The sequence below is a fragment of the Homo sapiens genome, chromosome 9, assembly GCF_000001405.40.
Source record: "Homo sapiens chromosome 9, GRCh38.p14 Primary Assembly".
Lineage (NCBI taxonomy): Eukaryota > Metazoa > Chordata > Mammalia > Primates > Hominidae > Homo > Homo sapiens.
The window spans coordinates 107,363,358-107,385,996 of NC_000009.12; the positions used below are offsets into that span (position 1 = coordinate 107,363,358).

The following is a 22,639-nucleotide window of genomic DNA, read 5'->3' on the forward strand; positions in this document are numbered from 1 at the left end:
CACTCCAGCCTGGGTGACGAAGTGAGACTCTGTCTCAAAAAAATAAATAAAAATAAAATAAAATAGCCAGGCATGGAGGCAGCCCCCGTTGTCCTTAGCTACTTGAGAGGCTGAGGTGGGAGAATTGCTTGAGCCCAGTAGGTCTGCAGTGAGCCATAATTGCACCACCGCTCTCCAGCCTGAGTGACAGAGTGAGATAGTGTCTCAAAAAAAAAAAAAAAAAAAATACAGAGAGAGAAAGAAAGAGATGCAGAAACAGATGGCCTCTGTCTTATAGGCCCTGGGGGCAAGACACTGGGCAGACAGAGGGAAGCCACACAAAGAAGCCCAGCTGCACAGGCTCCAGGAGTGCTCCCAGATGCTGCAAGAATGCAGGCAGGGAGGGGACTGAAAAGTGGGATGGCCCTTGGCTTGGTCACTTCCTGCTGCTGAGGGAATCAGGTGTGTTCTACGGTAAGATTTAAAAAATAAAATGAGCCTAGGGAGAAAAATCCAGGCTTGCTGAACTAATAAATCAGTGGGAGAGGTGAGCGCTTGCTCTAGTGAGGCATTTATGATTGGCTGCCTTTCATTGAGCCACACGGCGAGCTCATTCGGTGAGCAGAAAGCCCGGCAGAGCAGGCCTGCGATCTGGCAGACTGCGGGGTCCAGTCCAGGCTGTGCTAATCTCTTCATCTTTCTGAGTCTCGGCTTCCTTATTTGTAATACAGGGGTGCTATATGTTCTACCTACTTTACTGTGGTAGGAAGAGTCACTGAAATAAAGAAAACAAAAATTGCCTATAATTCACAAAGTTCCTACACAAGAAACCAGTAATAGTATTCTTTTATAGGGAGGGGAACGGGGTGGCTGGGAGATAGGAATGGGAGGGAGACTTTATGGTGTGTATCTTTTTACATGTTTTGCTATTTTGAACCACAAGAATAAACTATTCATTGAAAAAAACTTAGAAAAAAATCAATAAAGGCAATAATAAGGTCAGAACTAATAATGCAAGCAATCGTCATTATCATCATTATCATGGTCAAAATCACCAATGTCATCATTATTTTATTTATTTATTTATTTTTTTGAGACGGAGTTTTGCTCTGTTGCCCAGGCTGGAGTGCAGTGGTGCGATCTCGGCTTAGTGCAACCTCCGCCTCCCAGGCTCAAGTGATTCTCCTCTTTCAACCTCCCGAGTAGCTGGGATTACAGGCATGCACCACCACGCCAGGGTAACTTTTTGTATTTTTAGTACATGTTGGCCAGGCTCGTCTCGAACTCCTGACCTCAGGTGATCTGCCTGCCTTGGCCTCCCAAAGTGCTGGGATTACAGGGTGAGCTGCTGTGCCTGGCCCATTATTTAAAAGGTTATTTCCACATAATCTTACCAGTTTACTCTCAGTAAGTAAGTAAGTAGTAGTCAGTAAGTAAGAAATTGGTCATTGCCTCCAAAGTTCCTGGTCTAGCACCCTACCATGCTGTCATATTCAGTGCGTATTCAGTGGCCTTCCGCTTCTGCAAGGACCAGAGGCCTTGGAGGTAGTGGGGTGGGGAGCTTTCAACCTAGCGTAACCTACCATGGAATATTAAGCAGTCATTTAAGAAGAGATGGAGCCCTTCCAGGTGACCCGGAGGAATATCTGGGAGTTGTTGCTGATGGAAAAAGGCAAGATGCAAGGAAATGGGTGATCTCATTTTATAAAACAAAGACCAGTATAGCATCCAGCTACAGAAAACAAACACTGTGTGTTCGTATGTGTATGGAGAAAAGGAAGGAAATGTTCAGAATGTGAACAAAGATTGTCTGTGGGGTCTAGATGAGATAGGGAGCTGGGGTCGGGGGATAGCAGTGGATAGTGTTGATGATTTAAAAAGTTGGGCACCTTCTCACTTATGATCATTTACATATGCTATGTATGGGTGTGCGTGGCTGTATGAAGAGGTGCAAAGAAATCTGATAGAAGACCATCCTGACCAACTCCCTCTCTACTAAAAATACAAAAATTAGGCCGGGCATGATGGCTCACGCCTGTAATCACAGCACTTTGGGAGGCTGAGGCGGGTGGATCACGAGGTCAGGAGCTCGAGACCATCCTGGCTAACATGGTGAAACCCCATCTCTACTAAAAATACAAAAAATTAGCCGGGCGCGGTGGCAGGTGCCTGTAGTCCCAGCTACTCCGGAGGCTGAGGCAGGAGAATGGCATGAACCCGGCAGGTGGAGCTTGCAGTGAGCCAAGATGGCGCCACTGCACTCCAGCCTGGGCCACAGAGCAAGACTCCATCTCAGAAAAAAAAAAAAAAAAGTACAAAAATTAGCTGGGCATGGTGGTGCACACCTGTAATCCCAGTTACTCAGGAGGCTGAGGCAGGAGAATCACTGGAACCCAGGAGGTGGAGGTTGTGGTGAGCCAAGATCACGCCACTGCACTCCAGCCTGGCGACAGAGCAAGACTCTGTCAAAAAAAAAAAAAAAAAAAAAAAAAGAAAAAGAAAAAGAAATCTGATAGGCAATATTCATAGTAGTTAGTTCTCTCAGGGTGGTGAGATTCTAGGTGACTTATTTTTTTTTGGTCCAGATATTTATATAAATAGTTCTGATTATGAGAAGTCAACATGTATTATTTATGTAATCAGAAAAATCTACTTCTAAGGTGAATGATAATTAAAACAAACTAAATGACTGATAGGTGTCACTCTATCAGTCATCAGCTGGAGTTACAAATGAGGTAGGATGTCTTTTAAAATTCAAATGGGGCTGGGCGCAGTGGCTCACACCTGTAATCCTAGCACTTTGGGAGGCCGAGGCGGGTGGATCACCTGAGGTCAGGAGTTTGAGACCAGCCTGGGCAACATGGTGAAACCCTATCTATACTAAAAATATAAAAATTAACCAGGTGTGGTGGGATACCTGTAATCCCAGCTACTCCAGAGGCTGAGGCAGGAGAATCACTTGAATCTGAGAGGCAGAGGTTGAAGTGAGCAGAGATCATACCATTGCACTCCTTCCAGCCTGGGCAACAGAGCAAGACTCCGTCTCAAAAAAAATAAAATAAAATTTGAATGGGATACTTCTAAGACTGCTGACAAAGAGGGGACATCGTTTGCCCCTCCCTGGTTCTTCTTACTCTGCTAAATCCAATAATCCCAGAGGTGCAGTTTTGACCTCAGCCGTGGCCCTGGGGTGTTCTGCAGCCACCTGCTGGGGAGCAGGGCCACCTTGGCCACCTCAGCTGGTTGTTGACTCCAGGGAAGGCTGGCTGCCAGTGGTGGCTGCCATGCCACCACCATCTCCGGCCTGCCTGCCGTCGCTCTCCCTTGCTTAATCCCAGGGCCAACTTGAAGCTCTCAGTAAAACTCGAGCCCGGTGCTATAGCCGATTGCCACCACTAATGCTCATCCCCGGGTCGTTCCTCGGCACAGGATGCTCTACTCTCAGCAGTGCCACCCTGGGGGAGTGGGAAAGGGGACCCACTGCAGAAACCAGCTGCTAGTGGTTTCCCTACAGCAGGGTACAGTGCTTTAGGGACAGGGCTCTTTCGGCTTGCGAGCATACACACACACAGAGCTACTTTCCACCAGGCAACCCCATGGTCTCAGAAGGACTGGGGTCCAGAGCACAGTGATCCTAGAGCCAGCCCACTCCTACCACCTGGGTGAAGGAGCACCCAGGCTCAGTGCCCAGTGTCAGCCCTGGTCTCTTTGTTGCTCAATGGCGAACCTCTAATCACCCTCAGGCTTACACCCTCAGAGGCTGGTGATCCCACTGAATGGGGCAACGCCACAGTTATGTGGGGAGAAGAGGTTGGGAGCATTGTCAGGGAAAATGTCAGTGGTCTCTCTCCTGACACAGAGGGAAGGGGACTCCACTCTACTCCCTGGAAAGAATGTCCTTTCTCTCTCCTATTTTTTCAAATTTTAATTAATTTTTTTTTTTTGAGAGGGAGTCTCACTCTGTCATCCAGGCTGGAGTGCAGTGGCATGATCTCAGTTCACTGCAACCTCTGCCTTCCGGGTTCAAGTGATTCTCCTGCGTCAGCCTCCCAGTAGCTGGGATTATTGGCACATGCCACCACACCTGGCTAATTTTTTTTTTTTTTGTATTTTTAGTAGAGACAGGGTTTCACTATGTTGGCCAGGCTGGTCTTGAACTCCTGACCTCAGGTGATCCACCTGCCTCAGCCTCCCAAGGTGCTGGGATGGCAGGAGTGAGCCACTGTGCCCGGCCTCTCTCTCCTCCTCTTTACTTGTCCTCATGGTAGGTTGTCACTCAGGCAAGAATGCAGGTGTTCATTCCGGTGGGCTCGCTTTATTCTTCCAGACTGCATCAGGATCTGTGTGCTCCTTCTTGGGGCTCCCAGCCAGCCCCTGCATGGGGTGCCAGGGTGGGCTAGGATTAGGGTTAGGGTTGCAATTAGTGTCATGATCAGGGTTAGGGTGTACTTTGTTGGGTGGGGGGAAACAGGCAGGTCCACATTGCATTCTTCAGTCCAGCTCACCTTGAAAACCTGGTGTTTTTTGACCTTGTGTCTATTTGTCAAGTGGCTCAGATCTCAGGGAGCAAAACCATGTGATTGATTAGCCAAAACCCCCCCGTACCACTCATCATCAGTGCTTGACAACCTCCACCATGAGAACTGACCTCCTGGTCTCGCCACACTGCACCAGCCAGGTCCCCAGAGGAAGCCTCTGTGTGGTCCGTTTCCAAGGGCCCCCTCATTTCTGCTCCAGGATGATGGGCAGTGGGGGTACCCACTGTTTTGCCACTGTAGCACCATAGAGAGTGAGGAAAATCAAGGACCGTGACAGTCGACATTTCCCAAGGTCTTTGTTGTTTACTCACATTCCAGTTGAATGAATGAACGAACTGATTTTTAGTCAGCTGGTTGTGCTACCATTGTAGAGAAGGGAGTACTTTACTTACGCTGCCTGATGTATCCTCACAGTAGCCCTATGAGTAGGCACCATTCTTCCCCTATTAGAAGGGAGGAAATGAAGTCTCTGAGAGGTGACATGCCTGGGTGAGTGGCAGAGTCTTGGCCTGAGTCTCTCTGATACCAGAGTTCCTGCTCCCTGAACTCCTGCAGAGTGGCTGAGGAGGGAGGCTGAGCTAGCTGACTTGAGGCTGACATGCTCTGAGAGTCAAGTTTGCAGGTGGGACATCATAAGTCTGTGGATGCATATGAGGTCACAGTAGGCTGACCCACTGTGACAACAGAAATATATAGATATATTTATATTTATTTTTCCCTGGTTTCTGGCACAGAGCTTCTAACATTCTTCTCATTTCCTGAGCGATAGCGGTGCTAGGAGCATTTTTTTTGTTCTAATATTTTGTCTTTGACCCCAGTTCCTGACACAGAGTTCCTAAGTCCCTTGGAATTTCCTAGGTGATAAGAACGTCTTTTGTCCTAATCTGAGGTGGCTCTCTGTAAGCCCCTGAACAATGTCAGGGTGGGGGCTGATTGCCAGGAAGACCAAACCATGATTAGAAGCTTAGGTCTTTCAGCCCCACTCCCCATGCTCCAGAGAGACGAGAGGAGATGGAGACTGAGTTAGTAATCCGTCAAGCCCACGTGATGAAGCAGCCATAAAAATCCCTAAAAGGCAAAATGGGAGAACTTCTGGGTCAGTGAACGTGTCATGTGTTGGAAAGGTGGCACGACCGAAGTCCATGGGGACAGAAGCTCCCGTGCTCACGCCCTCTGGAGCTTGCCCTACATGCAAGATCTTCATCTGGCTGTTCATGTGTTTATTCTATCAAGTCCTTTGTCATAAACTGGTAAATGTGAGTAAGTCTTTCCCTGAGTTCTGTGAGCTATCATATTGTTGAACCTGAGGAGGGGGTTGTGAGAACCCCAGATTTGTTGCCAAGTTGGATGGAACTGTGAGTAACCTGGAGATCCACTCTTGGTGGTTGGTGGCTGAAGCGTGGGTGATCTTGTGGGGCTGAGCCCTTAACCTGTGGAGTCTGTGCTTACATTAGGTGATCAGTGTCGCAAATGAATTGTGAGGCACCCAGTTGGTGTCTGGAGAGTTGGGGAATTGGTTGGTGCGGGGAAACCCCCTGATACTCACTGTCACCAGATTATATGAGTCTAAGGCCCCACTCTGCTTTCAGGGATCATGCCAAGTAGTTCCCTCTTCTTCCATCTCTATGTCAGCATCCCGGCTTCTGGCACTTTGTTTCTGGATCCTGCACTGTCTCTGGGATTTGACTGCAGCACCTGCAGAATAGAATATCTCAGAGTTATTTTTCTGAAATAAAGATTTCAAATTATAGACTAAATAATGAATAATGTAGGGGTCGTATATGTTTTTATGTTATGACTCCTGTAAATATTGCTGGCTCATCAACAGAACAGCCAGACATGTAAGAGTAATTAAATGCAGTTGTCTTTAATACTTTGCTGACTTTCCATGAAAAACATAGCTTTTACATATTTCTGATTTTGTCAAAAATCAAATCTTCAAAGTAGGAGAATAGGAATACTTTATTTAGCAGTTTGTTAGCTTGATTCATAATAATTAAAACATCTACACATATAGTATGTAGACCCTCATTTGGACTTCCATCTCTGGCTTTGATAAGTTAGGCATAGGACTGAGCTATCCTTAAGTTTCTAGAAGGAGTTCAGTGATTCAATATTATTGACTTCAATGATTAAAAATTAAACATTTAATATTGCTTTTTTTAAAAAATTAACACTTTAAAAAACTGTGGCCAGGCACAGCGGCTTATGCCTGTAATCCTAGCACTTTGGGAGACCAAGGCAGGTGAATCACCTGAGGTCAGGAGTTTGAGACTAGCCTAGCCAATATGGTGAAACCCCATCTCTACTAAAAATACAAAATTAGCCAGGTGTGGTGGCGCGTGCCTGTAATCCCAGCTACTTGGGAGGCTGAGGCAGAATTGCTGGAACCCAGGAGGTGGAGGCTGCAGTGAGCCGAGATAGCGCCACTGCACTTCATCCTAGGTGACAGAGTAAGACTCCATCTCAATAAAACAAACAAAAAAAATTGTATTTTCCTTACCAAATCTTAACTCATTGCAGACCAGTGGAACATGGCCTCATGCTGCCAGGGAAAGCCCAAGGTAAAGCTTTTCCTGTTGTCTCCCCTTAACTGAGAAGTGTCTAACTCAGCAAGCCAAGCTCATGTAAAAACCAGTCATTACAACTACTTCTTTAAACAAATGTAGATTTCCTCAGTACTGTGCAACCAAACAAAAATGAAAATTTAGGATAAAGTGATGCAGAGACTGATTTTAGGCCATTAGCAAGCATCCACAGGCTTCCCAATTTCCATTTTTTTGTTATTTGTTCAAACAATTGTATGTTTATACTCTTATTATAATAAGAAAATCAATACATTCAGACACATAAAGGCTTATGATGAGAACTGTGGCTTTTATCTAATTTTTAGGAGACGGAATGACATTTTTTTTCTCCCATTACTGCTCTACAGGACATGGCACTGGTTATCAGAAAAGAAGGGAGAAATCTATTTTTAGTAATAACAATTCACCTGAGAGGAAGCGATCTAAAAAATTTGAAGGTTTGAATTGTTGTACAGGTCCCTACTCAACACACCTACACTGTCACCAAGTTTATAATTAGAGAGAATATGAAAATGATGAGGCTGGGCATGGTGGCTCACACCTGTAATCCCAACACTTTGGGAGGCCAAGGTGGGAGGATAGCTTGAGCCCAGGAGTTTGAGACCAGCCTGAGCAATATAGTGAGACCCTATCTCTTCAAAAAATAAAAAATTAGCCTGGCATAGTGGCACACAGCTGTAGTCCCAGCTACTTGGGAGGCTGAGGCAGGAGGGTCACTTAAGCCTAGGAGATCAAGGCTGCAGTGAGCTATGATCGTGCCACTGCACTTCAGCCTGGGTGACAGAGTGAGACTTTGTCTCAAAAAGAAAAGAAAATGGTGAACATTCTAAAGGTGGGACCAAAGAAGAGAGGTGGACGAAGTTTAAAAATGTCAAGAGAAGCCGGGCGCAGTGGCTCACGCCTGTAATCCCAGCACTTTGGGAGACTGAGGTGGGTGGATCACGAGGTCAGGAGGTCGAGACCAGCCTGGACAACACAATGAAACCCCGTCTCTAGTAAAACTACAAAAATTAGGCGGCCATGGTGGCGGGCACCTGTAGTCCCAGCTACTCGGGAGGCTGAGGCAGGAGAATGGCGTGAACCCGGGAGGCGGAGCTTGCAGTGAGCCGAGATCGCGCCACTGCACTCCAGCCTGGGCGACAGAGCGAGACTCCATCTCAAAAAAAAAAAAAGAAAAAAAAAATGTCAAGAGAAGAAAAAGAGGGTTCCAAATGTGAGAGCCATGGTCACGTAAGAGGCTTTTGGAACCAAGGATGAATCCATACCTAAAGTAAAAATATGTTCGATTCAGTCTTCTGGATTCAGCATTGTGATTGTAGCTTCTAACATTGAGGGTTTGGTGATGCACTGAACCACTCCTCTTTCTCTTCACTAAGCGCATGGTATTGGGGTTACAGATAGACTGGATTCTGTGTAAGACTTTGTTCATTGAAAGGGTTTCACTGCTTAAAAACAAATAAGACAGGCAGGTGCGGTGGCTCATGCCTGTAATCCCAGCATTTTGGGAGGCTGAGCGGGGAGGATCACCTGAGTTCAGGAGTTCGAGACAAGTCTGGCCAACATGGTGAAACCCTATCCCTACTAAAAATACAAACATTAGCCAGGTGTGTTGGCATGTGCCTGTAATCCTAGCTACTTGGGAGGCTAAGGCAGGAGAATCTCTTGAACCCGGGAGATGGAGGTTGCAGTGACCAGAGATAGCACCACCGCATTCCAATCTGGGTGACAGAGCAAGACTCTGTCTCAAAAAAAAAAAAAAAGAAAGAAAAAGACATTAAAAGCAGCTGTTCTCTGAGTTGGAACAAAAGGTTTGTTTTTTTCTGGTTGTTGTTGTTTTTGTTTGTTTGTTTTCCCACAGAGGCTCTCCAGGCATCAGCTTCACAGAGAGAATCTTGATGCCCAACAAGGACAGCATTTTCAGAGATGTACCCTTACAAGGGGTCCCCATACAAGATTGAAATGGTAAGCGATGTGTTTCATGTTTGCCCCTGAACTGAAGCTCTGACAAAGATACACTCCTATGTTCTAATTAGCTGGATATATGTCTAAGATATATATGTCTAAGATATAGTAATCCATATGGTACATTTAATTTACAAAGTGCTTTAGTATAGTCACTAAACATGCGACAAGTATTTATTGAGAGCCTACTATACGCCAGGCATTTGGTAGATATCTGGTAACAAAATAGACAAAAATCCCTCTCTTACATTCTGGAGAGAAAAGACAGTCAATAATATGCCAGACCTCTGCTCCAGACCAAGATGAAATAACAGAGACTGGTTTTACTCTTTTGCTTGAAACAATGAAAAAATTTGGATAAATTTTATAAAACAACTGTTTTAAAGACATTGGACATCAGGCCATGAAGGACCTGAAAGGTGGGACACAAGTGAGGCAAGCCCCATGATTACTCCCTAGACAGGGAGAAGGAAAATAATAGCAGATGGAAATTTAGATCCACACAAAGGAAAAACTGACACTAGAAATGTTATATATGTGGGCAAATATAAAAGATTTTTAAAAATCATTACTTAAGTCTCTTTAAGAGATAATTGACTTTTAAAAGCAAAAATACTAACAATGATTATAGGTTTTATAACATATGTAGAAGTAAAACGTATAACAACAATTACACAAGGCTGGGAGGAAAGAAACAGATGTATGTTGGTGTAAGGTTATTTTACTGTTGTAAGGTAGCATAATATTACTGAGGGTAGACTGTGATGTGTTAAAGATGCATACTGTAAACTCTAAAGCAACCATTACAGTAAGACAACAAAGAGTAAGAGCTAATTAACTAACAAAAGAGACAACATGAAATCATAAAAAAATATGCAATTGGCTGGGCGCAGTGGCTCACGTCAGTAATCCCAGCACTTTGGAAGGCCAAGGCGGGTGGATCACTTGAGGTCAGGAGTTCGAGACCAGCGTGGGCCACATGGTGAAACCCCATCTCTACCAAAACAACAACAACAAAATTTAGCCAGGAGTGGTGGCGCACCTTTAGTCCCAGCTACTCAGGAGGCTGAGGCAGGAGAATCGCTTGAACCCGGGAGGTGGAGGTTGCAGTGAGCCGAGATTGTGCCACTGCACTCCAGCCTGGGCGACAGAGCGAGACCTGGTCTCAAAACAAAAACAAAAACAAAACACACAGTTAATCAAAAGAAAAGCAGAAAAAAAAAAGAGGAAAGAAAAAACAGATGGGACATAAATTGCAAGATGGTAGATTTAAATCCAATGATATCAATAAACAATAAAGAATAAATAAATACAGTTTTAAAACAAGTAGTATTATATGTTAGAACGTAATAAGTGAGATAATAAACTTGAACATGACAAAAGGGTAGAAAGTCATGAGGGGCAGCCTGTAATTTTAAATGAGGTGTACAGGGTGAGACTCATTAAGAAGGTGACAGGAGGTGAGGAGGCCAGCTTTGCAAATAAATGTGAGATTCAAAGGCTCTAAGACACATGCATGTCTGGTGAATCAGAAATAGAAAGAAGGCCAAGGCGGCTGGAGAAGAATGAGTGAGAGGGCAACAGTAGGAGATGAGGGCAGAGAGATAAGGAGATCTGGATAAGGACAGATCACAGAGGCCACAGTCATACTCTGAGTGAAATATGGAGCCATCTCTGCACTCTAAGGACAAGAGTGACCTTCTCTGACACATGCTTCAAAAGCATTCATCCGAGTCTGTTTTGAAAATACCCTGGGCAGGGGAGGGCAAAGGTAGAATCAGGGGGACTGGGTAAGAGGCAATTTAACAATTCAAGTGAGCAATGATGGAGGCCTGGACCACAGAAACGGCAGTAGAGGGAAGGAGTGGTTGGATTCTGGATTTATTCTGGAGGTGGAGACAGCAGCACTTCCTGTGGAATTGAAGATGGAGTTTGACAGGAAGGGAGAGAGACATCAAGGTTGATCTAAGGCATTTTGCTTGAGCAAATGGAAGGATAAGATCCCCATCAACTGAAAAGGGAAAATCTGTGGCTAGAGCAGATTGGGAGCAGAGCAGTTCATTCTGGAGATGCTGAATTTGAGATGTCTATTGAATATCCAAGGGCAGATGTCAAAAGGCTGGTGGGGGTATCTGGGCTTAAGATAAATGTCTGAGAATCATCAGCTTAGAGATGATATTGAAAGTAAGATCACCAAGGAACAAGTGTAGGTAGAGAAAAGGAGAAGAAAAGTACCAGCCTCTAAAAACATTCCAACAGAGAGAAAGAGAGGCCAAAAGAGACTAAGTAGGTGGCCAGGTGTAGTGGCTCACTTCTCACTTCTGTAGTCCTAGCACTTTGGGATGAGCACCGAGGCAGGCAGATGGCTTGAGCCCAGGAGTTCTAGACCAGCCTGGGCAACATGGCAAAACCCCATCTCTACAAAACAATAAAAAAATTAGTCAAGCGTGGCGGCATGCCTGTAGTCACTGCTACTTGGGAGGCTGAGGTGGGAGGATCACTTGAGCCTTGGAGGTTGAGGCTGCAGTGAGCTGTGACCATGCTACTGCAGTCCAGCCTGGGCAACAGAGCAAGACCCTGTCTCAAAATTAAAAAAAAAGAAAAAAAAGAGAGAGAGACTAAGAAGGAGCTATCAGTGAGAAGGTGGAAAACAAGAAAGTAAGATGACCAGAAAGCCGAGTAAAGAAATATATCAAGAGGAGGGAATAAATAATGATGTCAGACGCTGCTGATAAGTTAAGTAACAGGAAGACTGAGAATTGACCACTGAGTTTTGCAATGTGGAGGTCGCTAGTGATAAAGATGGTTTTGGTGGGGGAATTGGAGAGAAAGTCTCATTAGAGTTGGTTTAAGAAAAAATGTGGAGAGAGAAATTGGAGATGGCACATATAGATAAGTCTTTCAAGGAACTTTGCCTATAAAAGGGAGCAAGGAGGAAGAGGGATAGGAGGGTTTTTCTTTTTTTCAAAGATAGGAAGAATAACAGCCTATTTCTTTGCTTATTGGAATGATCTAGTAGCAAAAAACCGATCACGTAGGTGGGAGAGAGAACTGCTAGAGCAACGTTCTTGGAGGGAAGGGGGCGGAGACATAGAGCATGGGGGGAGAGACCGTGAATCAATCATTCCCCATCTCTGGTGCTCAGAGTTGTAAGGTTGGAATTGTTTTGATTTATTTAATATTATAGAGCCAGATGGCATCTGGTGTTGGGGCCATGTGTCTATTTTATTAACATCTCCAGAAAGATGGATTCTGGGTCCTTTGGGAGATAGTTTGAAGAGAGACCCTGCAAAATTTTCCCTGGCACTCATACACACAGTCTTTAGCTTCTTGGACACCTCTGTCTGGGTTTGCCAAGCTCTTGGTCATCAATTACAGTGGAATTCTGTATAACTCCAGTAAGCAAACGCACTGGGACGTCACGTCTCATGTGCTCTGCCTCTAAGTATTGGTGTTGGTGCGCTCATCAGGATAGAGGATGCAAGTGTAGGAAAAGGTTCATATCTAAGTATAACCACAAAAAAGCGTAAGTTTCATGAGAGAACGTGAACCAAAAAGAAAAGAAAAAGGAATAAAGAGTAAGTTGCCAAGAATGTAGGAGGGGAACCTTGAGAGAAACGTGTGGAAACCTAGGGAAGTGAGTTTCATGAAGAATGGGGTAATTGACATGACGGTGTCAAAGAGAGGTCAAGTAAGATAAGGGCTGAAAAGCACTCACTGGGTTTGGCTAAAGGAGGCTCTGTCAAAGCAGTTTCAGTGGGAAGGTCAGGAGGAAGCCAGATTGCTGTGGGCTGAGGATGTGTAGGAGGCGAGGAAGTGGAGACAAAGCGTGAGGGATATCTGTTCAATTCATTTGGCTGCAAAGTGTGGGGAAGAGATGCAATGACAAGTTAAGGGCAAGGCATGGAGAAGGGAGAGCTATTTCAAAATGGAAGACATTTGGAGTGCTTACCTGCAGAGAGGAGAGAAATAGGATGATGGATTGGAGTAAAGGACAGAAAAAGGAAAATCAATGGAGCAGAGTTCTAAAGGGGATGGAAGAGACTCAGAGAACCAGTAGAGAGGGAGAAAAGAAGTGAAAATACAGAGATATTTTGAGGTGGACAGAAGGTGGGCATTCGCATGGTGCAGTAGGAGGTGAGATAGGATGAAAGACTTTGGGAAATGCTTGGGGTGTTTTAGGAGGCAAGGCATCTTTGAAAAACTGGTGCAGGAAAGATGCTAAAGCTGGATAAGAGGATTGTGGAACAACATTGTGGGGCCACTGACTCTTCAACATGAGTTTAGCGCCTGCTAATATTACTCCCTGCTCCTTGAAAAAGGAGCAACTGGGTGTGGCAGAAGGAAAAGCGTGGTAACATAGGATCCCCAGATCAGGATTAATCAAACCATAAATAATCACTATGGGAAGCAGTACGGAGGTTCCTCAAAACTAAAAATACAGTTACCATATGACCCAGCAATCCCTCTTCTGGGTATTTACCCAAAAGACTTGAAGTCAGTAATGTCAAAGAGATATGTGCATTCCCATGTTCATTGCAACACTATTCACAGTAGCCAAGTTATGGAATCAACCTAAGAGCCCATCAAGGGATGAATGGATAAAGAAAACGTGGTATATATACACCGTGGAATACTATTCAGCCTTTAAAAAGGAAGGGATGGCCAGGTGCAGTGGCTCACGCCTGTAATCCCAGCACTTTGAGAGGCTGAGGCAGGCAGATCACGAGGTCAGGAGTTTGAGACCAGCCTGACCAAAATAGTGAAAGCCCGTCTCTACTAAAAATACAAAAATTAGCCAGGCATGGTGGTGGGCACCTGTAATCCCAGCTACTCAGGAGGCTGAGGCAGGAGACTCGCTTGAACCCGGGAGGAGGAGGTTGCAGTTAGCTGAGATCACACCACTGCCTTCCAGCCTGGGTGACAGAGCAAGACTCTGTCTCAAATAAATAAATAAATAAATAGGAAGAGATTCTGTCATTTGTGAAAACACAGATGGAATTGGAGAACATTGTGTTAAGTGAAATAAGCCAGACACAGAAAGACAAATACCACATCTTCTCAATTATATGTGGAATCTCAAACAATTGAACTCAAGGAAGCAGAGAGTAGAAAGGTGGTAACTAGAGGCTGGAGGGTGGGAAGAAAATAGGGAGATGATGGTCAAAGTGTATAAAGCCTCAGAGAGGAGGAATAAGTCTGAACTTTTCTTTCTTTATTCTTTTGCTGAGATCAATTACATAGCATGATGAATATGGTTAATAATTGTGTATTATGTTTAAATTTCTCTAAGAGAGTACATTTCAAATGTTCTTATCAAAAAATGTTAAATATTTGAGGTGATAAATATGTTAATTAGCTTGATTTAACCATTATATTCAAAGTCATAACACCACTTTGTACCACATAAATATAATGTATATTTTGTCTATAAATTTATGTTTAACATATAATTTACGTTTATAAATTATATTTCTAGCAAACTATAATCTATAATTTATTATTTATAATTATACTCTGTAATTTATCTGTAAAAATAATTCATCAATAAAAATGAAATTAAATTCAAAATAAAAATAAAAATTTTTTAAAAAATCATAAAGAACCTGTCAAGGATTATGAATCCATTTCTAACCACCCAGAGGTAACCCCTAAGAGGCAGTTTCGCTATCTTTGCTCTTCAACCTGTTGAAATGTATTGGGACAGAAACTCAAATTTCCCCTTCTGTCAAAGAAAAAATAAGGCAATCCAAGAGGAACTGTTTAGAATAGTTCCAGATGGCTGAGTCAAAAAAAAAAAAAAAAAAAAACTGAGCTACGTGTGGCCCTTTATAAGTAGGCCAAAAAGTAGGGTTTTTGAGCACAGTAATGCCAGGGCTATTGTATTGCAAGGAAAAGAGTCAATATTTTCTTGGCCAGGCACAGTGGCTTACTGACTGTAGTCCCAGCACTTTGGGAGGCCAAGGCAGGTGGATCACCTGAGGTCAGGATTTCGAGACCAGCCTAGACAACATGGCGAAACCCCTTCTCTACTAAAAATACAAAAAATTAGCCGGGCATGGTGGCACGCACCTTTAATTACAGCTACTTGAGAGGCTGAGGCGGCTGTAATCCCAGCTACTCAGGAGGCTGAGCAGGAGAATAGCTTGAGCCCGGGAGGTAGAGGTTACAGTGAGCCGAGATGGAGCCACTGCACTCCAGCCTGGGTGACAAGAGACAGACTCTGTCTCAAAAAAGAAAAGAGTCAATATTTTCTTTTTCTTTCTTTTTTTTTTTTTTTTTCAGATGGAATCTTGCTCTGTCACCAGGCTGGAGTGCAGTGGTGTGATCTCAGCTCACTGCAACCTTCGCCTCCCAGGTTCAGTGATTCCCCTGCCTCAACTTCCCAGGTATATGGGACTACAGGCGTGCGCCACCACGCCCAGCTAATTTTTTGTATTTTAGTAGAGACAGGGTTTCACCATGTTAGCCAAGATGGTCTCGATCTTCTGACTTCATGATCCGCCGGCTTCGGCCTCCCAAAGTGCTAGGATTACAGGCATGAGCCACCACGCCCGGCCAATATTTTCTTAATCAAAGAAATATATATCCAACCTACGAAACTACACTATTTCCTTTGGAAATAGTTCATGTTTGCAGAGTTGAAGGGGGTTGCCCTCAGGTAATTCAGAAGGAATCAGTGAAAGCTTCTCTGCTGGGGAGATCAAACTGCAGTTGGAGCACCCCAGGCCTCCCTGACCCCTCCTCACACCAATTCACAGGACTGATTCCGACAACGGGCAGAAGAGCATTTCCACTAACAACTGGTAAAGCTTGAGGTACCAGAGTTTGAAAGATGCAAGAATGGAGAGTTAGGACCCTTTCATCACATGAGGGCCATGGGATTTCCCAAGAGGGGAGGTGGGGACACCAGATTGAGGGGTGACTTGAAGAGAGGATGTGGGAGGAATCAGACAATGAGAGATTGAAGAGTCAGAGAAAGATGGGGAATGGATGTGTGTTAATGTGTATGGCAGGGCTGTCTTCACAAGCCTGAGACCTGGGCAGTCAACCTATGAGACTAGACTGTTACCTTTGGCAGAAAGTTAATGTTTGCAGTGCTGACAGGGGTTGCCCTTAGGTAATTCAGAAGGAATTACCTTCTAAGCACAGTGAAAGATTTTCTGTGTTTAGGAGTCCCCTACACTTGGTTTAATCCTCTAATTTGCTGTCTTTAAAATGTTTAATAATTCTTTTTTTTTTTTTTTTTTTGAAGACAAGGTCTCATTCTATCAACCAGGCTGGAGTGCAGTGGCGCACTCACTGCTCACTGTAGCCTTGACCACCTAGGCTCAAGCAATCCTCCCACCTTAGCCTCCAGAGTAGCTGGGACTACAAGCCCACCCCACCACACCCAGCTAAGTTTTTAAAATTTTTTCGTAGAGATGTGGTCTTATTCTGTTGCCTAGGCTGGTCTCAAATCCTGGGCCCAAGGGATCCTCCCACCTCAGCCTCCCAAAGTGTGGGAAGAGCCGCAGGGCGTGAGCCACTGTGTCTGGCCAATAATTATGTTTGAACAAGGGGCTTCACCATTCTATTTTGCACTGAGACCTGCAAATGATGTAGCTGATCCTGTGGGAGGCTTTCAAGAATCCAAATGAGTTGGCTTAAGTCACCACTCCTGCTTTGGATTGATGTTCTGTTACTAAAGTTAGTAACAAAACAAACTGTAGGCCGGGTGCAGTGGCTCACACCTGTAATCCCAGCACTTTGGGAGGCCGAGGTGGGCGGATCACTCGAGGTCAGGAGTTCGAGACCAGCCTGGCCAACATGATGAAACCCTGTTTCTCCTAAAAGTACAAAAATTAGCCAGGCATGGTGGCACACACCTGTAAATCCAGCTACTCAGAAGGCTGAGGAAGGAGAATTGCTTGAAACTGGAAGGTGGAGGTTGCAGTGAGCCAGGATCACACCACTATACTCCAGCCTAGGTGACAGAGGGAGACTCTGTCTCAAACAAACAAACAAACAAATTGTATTGAGAGAGCCAATTGGTAAAACTGATGTCGGAAACAGCCCCCTTAGCAGCCTGTGAGTCTCATCATGCTTGGGGTTACCCTTGGCTTTCCCATGGGGACCAACCCATGATCTGTCCCCTCCCCACTGGTGCACCACCAGGCGGAAAGCCCCACAAAGCAGCCAACATCCCTTCAAAGATGAGAGGTCCTCCACCTGACTTTCCTGATACTCCCCTCAGGATCACAGGGGATAATGCTCTTCCCCCACCGGCCAACTCACCATGACATAGAATGAAATGGCCCAGCTACAGCCTGGTAACCAAGGTAATGCCTTCATGTTAATTCCCATGAGATGGCCTTGTGTGGTTGCAATGGCCAGAGGAGATCCGTGTACTTCTTGGTTCTTTTGAAATAATTCCTCCCATTTCTCTCACTGCTTTCTGTCATTCACTCAACAGCCATTTATTGTTAGTTACTAGGTGCCAGAGTGTTCCACCTCTAATCCATCCAGCAAGATCTTAGCATGCCCTGCTACCCTTCAAAATAAAGGAGTGGACAGAGAAAGACCTGGAACAAGCAGGAGGGAAGGGGGCCCTGTAGAGTTTCATACTCCATTTCCCCCACCCACTTTTCAATTCAAAATTCAAATTCAGGCCAGGCATAATGGCTTATACCTATAATCCCAGCACTTTGGGAGGCCGAGGTGAGAGGATCACTCGAGGCCAGGAGTTTGAGACCAGCCTAGGCAACACAGCGAAACCCTTGTCTCCACACACACAAAAAGAAACATTAAAAATGACCTGGGCATAGTGGTGTGTGCCTGTAGTCCTAGCTCCTTGAGAGGCCAAGGCAGAAGGATCCCTTGAACCCAGGAACTCAAGGCTGCAATGAGCTGTGACTGTGCCACTTCACTCCAGCCTGGGTGACAGAGGGAGACCCTGTCTCTAAAAGAAAAAAAGAAAAATCCAAATTCAAAATCTTCTCCAAGTGAAGTACAAAGATAATGCAGTTGAGCTAATCCCTTGATGTAGTCAAAGACAGAGGAATCCTCACATGAGTATCCATTTCCAATACATTCTCTTGAATTTCTTTTCTGTTGTTGTTGTTTTGAGATGGAGTCTTGCTCTGTTGCCCAGGCTGGAGTGCAGTGGTGCGATCCTGGCTCACTGCAACCTCCGCCTCATGGGTTCAAGCAATTCTCCTGAGTCAGCATCCCGAATAGCTGGAATTATAGGTGTGCACCACCATGCCCGGCTAATTTTTGCATTTTTAGTAGAGATGAGGTTTCACCATGTTGGCCAGGCTGGTCTTGAACTCCTGACCTCAGGTGATCCGCCTGCCTTGGCCTCCCAAAGTGCTGGGATTACAGGCGTGACCCACTGCACCTGGCAACTCTTGATTTTTCTTTTTTTTTAAGATGGGGTCTCACTGTATTGCCCAGGCTGGTCTCAAACTCCTGAGCTCAAGCAATCCTCCCACCTCAACTTCCCGAATTGGGATTATGGGCATGTCAATATATTCTCAATGAAACAATTAGAATTATATAAAATAGAAAAAACAAATTGCCCCTTTATATCACATCTTCATTCTTTCATCTCTCCTCAACCATTGTGTGCATTCTCCCAGGCCTCTTCCTTAACATTTAAATTCAAATGTATGCATTTATATCTCACATATAACTTCTTAAAAAATGTAATGGGATCACAATGCACATAAGGTTCCAAATCTTACTCTTTATCTTAATGACTTCTATTTTCATTATAGCTTATGTAGGTCTACACAATTCTTTTTTACTAGTCGTACAGGGTTATATGGTGCAGGTATATCAGAGTTTATTTAACCATTCCATTATTGATATTTTGATGATGTACAGCAAATATTAGCAACAGTCCTATTCTGAGTATCTTTGTTAATACACATTATGCCCCTGGGCATATGTTTTGTCAGGAGAGAGGTCAAGAAGAATTTCCAGATCCTAGGTTATGCTTATTTGTGCAACTGCCAAGTTCCAAGTCAAAAAATCATCACCAGGCCGGGCGCGGTGGCTCACATCTGTAATCCCAGCACTTTGGGAGGCCAAGGCTGGTGGATCACCTGAGGTCAGGAGTTCAAGACCAGCCTGGCCAACATGGTGAAACCCTGTCTCTACTAAAAATACAAAAATTAGCCGGGCATGGTGGTGCACGCCAGTAATCCCAGCTACTTGGGAGGCTGAGGCAGGAGAATCACTTGAACCTGTCAGGCGGAGGCTGCAGTAAGCTGAGATCGTGCCACTGCACTCCAGCCTGAGCTACAAAGAAATTCCGTCTCCAAAAAAAAAAATCACCAATTTCTTCTCCCAACAACAGTGTGTGAATACGCCTTCTTCTCCAAATCTTTGCCAACATTTGTCACTGATCTTTCATTGCTGTTTCAATATTCACTTTGCTGATTACAAGTAAAGTGGAGTGTCTTTCAATTCATTTAATGGCTGCTTGCAGTCTATGAATTATCTGTTATATACTTTACATGTTTTTTCACTTCATCCTTAAAACAACAACCTTATGAGGTAAATACTATTATTATCTCCTTTTTACAGATAAAGAACTGAAGATCCAAAGCCAGAGAATGATAAAGTAACTTCAACCTGACACAGTAAAACATTGCAGGGAGAGTCCGGGATCTGGAATGAGAATGCCACGTCCAGGCTGTGTTACCTTACAAAAATTATTAATGCTTCAGTGGCCTCATCTGCAGAATGGAAATACCAATAATAGTAGCTATCTGATAAGGTTATTGTGGGGATAGTAGGAGACAATCCATAATAATGTTTGAGTAGTAGCTGGCACATTGTAGATACTCAACATACGCCAGCTATTATTGTTATAGAAAATATGCAGATCTGGAATAGCTTGGAAAATGTTTATGATACAATAACAAATTCAAAAGAAGTCTACTAAATACTGTGTATTTTATGATTGCAATTTTGTAAAAACTATATCTGCTTATGGAAAAAGATTTGAAGAAAATATGCTTATGTGAAAAGAATTTCTTACAGTGATGGGATTACGTGTAGCTTTATTTATTTATTTGAGACCAGGTCTCACTCTGTTGCCCAGGCTGCAATACAGTGGTGTGACACCAGCTCCCTGAAACTCCTGGGCTCAAGTGATCCTCCTGCCTCAGCCTCTTGAATAACTGGGACTACAGGCATGTGCCACCATGCCCGGCTAATATTTAATTTTTTTGTGGAGACAGAGTCTCCCTATGCTGCCATGCTGGTCTTGAACTCCTGGGCTCAAGCGATCCTCCAGCCTCAGCCTCCCAAAGTGCTGGGATTATAGGCGTGAGCCATTGTGCCCAGTCATGTGTAGCTTTTTAATGCTTTTATATCATTCTATAATGAACAAGAAAGGGAGAGAAGAAAGAAAAGGAAGTAAATTCTGTGGACTTTGCCCTTGAAGGTGTGAAGGAGGTTCACAAGCACTTTCAGACCAGTGCCATACCTTTAAAGGGGCTATCTGGCCATGCTTTCTTCTCTCCAAAGGCACACTGGTGGCTTTGTCTCCTTCATTCATTCATCCATTTGTTTACTAGGTGTATGTGGAGAGCTTCTTATGTGCTAGACACCATTCTATGCATGAGCTATACAATGGCAAACAGGACAGTGAATCCTGATTGCTAATGAAGAAGTTAGGCAATAACTCCCCCAAATGTAAACAAGAAATGATCAGATAGTAATAACAGCTATGCAGAGAATTAAAATATGAGCTATGATAATTGCTGGCGTATGGATATTTTAGATTCGTGGCCAAGGAAGGCTTCTCTGAGAAGGTAGCACTTAATTGATGACAAGAAAGACTGACCTAGGAAAACCAGGAGAAGAATATTCTAAAGCATTAACAGCACGCTCGAGGACTCTCAGGCAGAAACTCACTTGGTAGGGATAAGGCACGAAGAAAGGCTAAAGTGTGGCTGGAGGGTGGTGGCCAAGGGTGAGAGCAGAATGAGATGAGGTTGGATCATGGGAGGCTTCGTGGAAGAGGGTAAGAAGTTTAGGATTTTATTCAAAGTGGAGTGGAAAGTCATTGGAAGACTTTAAGTAAGAAAGTGATTTAATCAGATTCATGTTTTTAGAAAGATCCTTCTAGCTGCCATATGGCAAATGGATTGCAGAGATATTGGAAACAGAAACAGCAGTTATAAGAACACTGCAGTGATCCAGGCAGTGATGACCAGGGATTCAATTAGAGTGTTGGCAATGAAGAAGTAGATAAGTGGGTGTCGGGATATCTTTTGGAGGCAGAAGTTACAATACTTGCTGAAGGATTGGTCATGGTGCCTAGTAAAACAGAGAAATCAAGGATAATTCTAGATTTTTGGCTTGAGGGTAACCAGGTGCTGTTTACTTTGGTGGAGAAAATTGGAGTAGAAGCAAACTTGGGGGGAGGGGAGTGGATTAATAATCTTATTAATTTTTTTACAAGTAAAAATGTCAAACAAAGAGTTGATTATATGAGCCCGGATTTGCAGAGAGAGCTCAAAGCAAGAATAGCAAGTTTGAAAATCTCCATACATGGATGGTATTCAAACCAGGAGATTGGTGGGCTCACCCAGGTGGATTGTAGATGCAGAAGAGAAGAGCTCAGGATTGCATCCTAGGTCTTCTAAAGTTGAGAGGTTAAGTAGAAAATAAAGAATAACAAAAAAGAGACTGAGAAGGAACAGCCAGTGAAGCAGGAGGAACATCAACAAGTGAGATTTCATAAAAGCCAGGAGAAGAAAATGTTTCGAGAAGAGGGGCACACAGGTAGGCTTTGTGGAATGTCACTAAAACATCGAGTGTGATAAGAACTAAGAAAAGGTGAGCCGGGCATGGTGGCTCATGCCTGTAATCCAGCACTTTGGGAGGCTGAGGTGGATGGATCATGAGGTCAAGAGTTCGAGACCAGCCTGGCCAACATAGTGATACCCCTTCTCTACTAAAAATACAAAAATTAGCCGGGCATGGTGGCGTGCGCCTGTAATCCCAGCTACTCGGGAGGCTGAGACAGGAGAATCACTTGAACCCAGGAGATGGAGGTTGCAGTGAGCCAAGATCGCACCACTGCACTCCAGCCCAGGAAACAGAGCGAGACTCTGTCTCAAAAAAAAAAAAAAAAAAAAGAACTAAGAAAAGGCCATTGGATCTGGCAACAGAGGGATCACTGGGTTTTATCACAGACAGTGTGAATGTTAAAGACATTGCCATTTGAAGCCCAGTGGGACTGGGTTTGAATTTTAGTTCTACCACTTACTAGCTGTGAGAGCTTAGATGTGCTACTTAACCTGTCTATAGCTTTCGATAATGACATTTACATTATTGAATTGTAAAGTTTGAGGGAGGTAAAGTTTATGAAATTGCAAGCACTTAATAGGCACTCATTGGTTTCCATTTTTTAGGCAGCGTAGGAAAGTCAGGGACCTTGGGATAGCCCCAGGGAAGAGGTCCTTGTGTGCTTGGATTCTGTTTTTGAAGCTGCAGTAGTGTGTGTTGTCAAAGCAAAGCAAAGAGTTATTGACCCAGAGATCTGAGAGCTGGAGCAGCTGACTCTGT

At 44.2% G+C, this 22,639-nt stretch overlaps 1 long non-coding RNA gene across 3 annotated transcripts; it reads left to right on the forward strand.

Annotated features, from left to right (window-relative positions):
• Positions 1 to 357: 357 nt before the first annotated feature.
• On the forward strand, positions 358 to 20,100 carry LOC107987111 (uncharacterized). Of its 3 annotated transcripts, XR_001746876.1 has the most exons (4): positions 358 to 453; positions 8,964 to 9,067; positions 17,304 to 17,388; positions 19,643 to 20,100. It is a non-coding gene; the product is annotated as an uncharacterized LOC107987111 (long non-coding RNA). The 3 variants fall into 3 exon arrangements; XR_001746874.1 differs by lacking the exon at positions 17,304 to 17,388; XR_001746875.2 differs by lacking the exons at positions 358 to 453; positions 17,304 to 17,388 and adding an exon at positions 4,186 to 5,872.
• The last annotated feature ends 2,539 nt before the right edge of the window (positions 20,101 to 22,639 follow it).